Source organism: Homo sapiens, chromosome 2 (assembly GCF_000001405.40).
Source record: "Homo sapiens chromosome 2, GRCh38.p14 Primary Assembly".
In the NCBI taxonomy this organism is placed as follows: Eukaryota; Metazoa; Chordata; class Mammalia; order Primates; family Hominidae; genus Homo; species Homo sapiens.
Window position 1 is genome coordinate 118,114,859 of NC_000002.12, and position 2,354 is coordinate 118,117,212.

The 2,354-nt window shown below is 42.0% G+C and overlaps 1 annotated feature.

Annotated features, from left to right (window-relative positions):
* Positions 891-2,090: an enhancer, noted in NCBI's record as "BRD4-independent group 4 enhancer chr2:118873325-118874524 (GRCh37/hg19 assembly coordinates)". NCBI's record gives its function as "activates an origin of replication core promoter dependent on BRD2, P300/CBP, MED14 and CDK7 cofactors, and independent of BRD4, by STARR-seq in HCT116 cells {active_cell/tissue: HCT116}" and the evidence as "EXISTENCE:reporter gene assay evidence [ECO:0000049][PMID:35650434]".

The window sequence follows — 2,354 nt, forward strand, 5'->3', positions numbered from 1 at the left end:
AATACATATAGTTCATTCAGTTCATTGTGCCAGCAAGTATACTGGCATCTGCTCTTTTATGCCTCCCTTCTTTTTATCACTGATCAGATCTGTGAAACCTGTCATCTTTGTGATTTACAAGATAGACTTTTCCAGGCTATGTCAACTGTTCTGAAGACAATGTTGTTAAGTATCAGATTTGGCAGATCAGATAGATAATGATGTGCCTTGGAAAGACTGGGCTATTGATGAGCCTCGTGTCAAAACTGATTGCCATATATGGGCGATTTTTCCTTTTCACTGTTTCCCTGGTTTCAGTTTCTGTGAGGATTTTCTTGAACAAGGGCAGTTTTAATTCCAAATCAAAATTGTGCTCTAGTAACTGTGTCCTCTGCTGCTTTCACATGGCAGCATTTATGGCTGCTAATCATTCTGTGGCCTCCCCGAAGGTGGGCTTTAAAAGTAATGGGCACTTGGAAAACATATTGCCATTTAAAAACAATCATTTTTGATTGCCATTCCGAAAACCATAAATCCATCTACTGCTACTGTGCTTCCATGAGACTGTTTCATTTGCAAGATTTGCTTCTCTTTTAGAAACGCTTTTTGAGGAAACTTGCACAGAATGTGATCATGGACCAATTCATTGTGATGAGCAGTTGAGTAGACAAAGCAAAGAAATAACTCAAGTGCTGAAACTGTTTGTTTCAGAAGAAAAGTTTCTAAAATGCATTCACTGGGAATTTCTGCCATTGGATCAAACTCATTTCTATTCCCTTTATAGTCATCACATGTCACTCCTAGATCTTTTGGGAATGTCTGCTCCACCAAAGTATGACAGTGGCAGTTCTGTTTTGAAACGATTCTTTCTGCTTATATTAATAAAAAAGCTTGAGATTTTCTAGCAGGACATTACAGAGAGGCAGAGTGCTGGCCCATCACCTCAGGATCAGCTGGATGCACCTGGGGTGCATAGTCTCACACCCTGGGCTTGAGAAGCTTGCAGACTGACAAATTTAAGATGAAACTTAAAAGATGTTTATAAAGACAAATCTCTGTGGAATTTTCAAAGTCCCAGATCCTAGTGCATATCAAGATCCTGTCTGTCCTTGAGAAGGCACGTCAGGGCATGTTGAAGCGTGTCTTCCCAGAATGTGTGTAAAATTCATACTAGAGTTGAGTTTGGTTCAGCTTTTTTCCCCAGAAAGAATAAGTTAGTGATCCTTAAATATTGTTTGGTAATCTGATTTTGAAATGGCAGCTTGTTTTCATTGATTTGTAACTTGGCTTTACAATAACCGGGTTTATTTCCCACTTACGTGACATGTACAGTCTGGTTTGTGGGAGACTGTGCCCCACTGCAGACAGGCAGCCTCACTCGCTTGCCAAGGCAGGGGAAGAATGGGCATGGGTTCTCAAACTCACTCTTCTCTGCTTGGGCCTAGAAGGAATGTACTGCACTTCTGCTCCACACATTGGCCAGAACTAATCCTGTGGCCCTAACTGCAAGGGGGCTGGGATGTGTAACCCCTCCTCCAAAGGGAGAGGAGAACCAAATATTGGTGATCCCTGGTAATGTCTGCCACAGTTGTAAAACGTTTTGCGGTGCTCTGTTCACAATAGAATACTTTACTCCCTTAGTGATTGATAGTGAACATGACTATAAGAAAATAGTTTTTGGTGGCAAAGTTTAAAACAAAATTATGGTCTTTACCTAAAGTGTAAACTTTGTGTCTAAGTCTTGGAGTGGTGAGAAAGAAGGAAGGGATTCACTTTCATCTTTTCCTCTCGCCTAGAAGGAGAAATGTGTGGGAGGGAATGAACCAGGTGTCTTCCTGGTGCCTCCTGGGAATGTCCCCAGCACACGTCTGTGGGTATTGACGCCATTTTACGGCTGCCAACATCCACATTTTTCTGGGTGGCACAGCAGAGTTTCAAACCCTGGTTTGACTTCACTCCAATGACCAAAGACTTTCCTCATCACCACAGACCTGTCTGCTGTCCCTGAAAGTCCCTTCGCTGACGCTCCTGCCTCATGTTGCATATGCATTTCTGACGGAATTCCAATGCCGTCGCTTAGAATAAGTGACTTGGCATTGTGGGCATTGCTGATAGGAATGCAATCTTAGCTTTTTAGTAGAAAAGTGTAAGACTTTGTAGACGTATTCATGTTGAATGTGTTCCTCCACTCTGGAGTCTGAGTTTGTTTAGAAAGTTAATAAAAAGCATTTCTAGAAAGCCTGGGAATGACCTTGACTTGGACCTCAAGCCCCTTTCCATAGCAGATGTTCTGTCCTGCTGCAGCTTCCAGAGACCCAGACCCATGTGGAAATCTGACAGATAGGAAAGAGATAGGTTTTTTTTTTTTTTTTTTT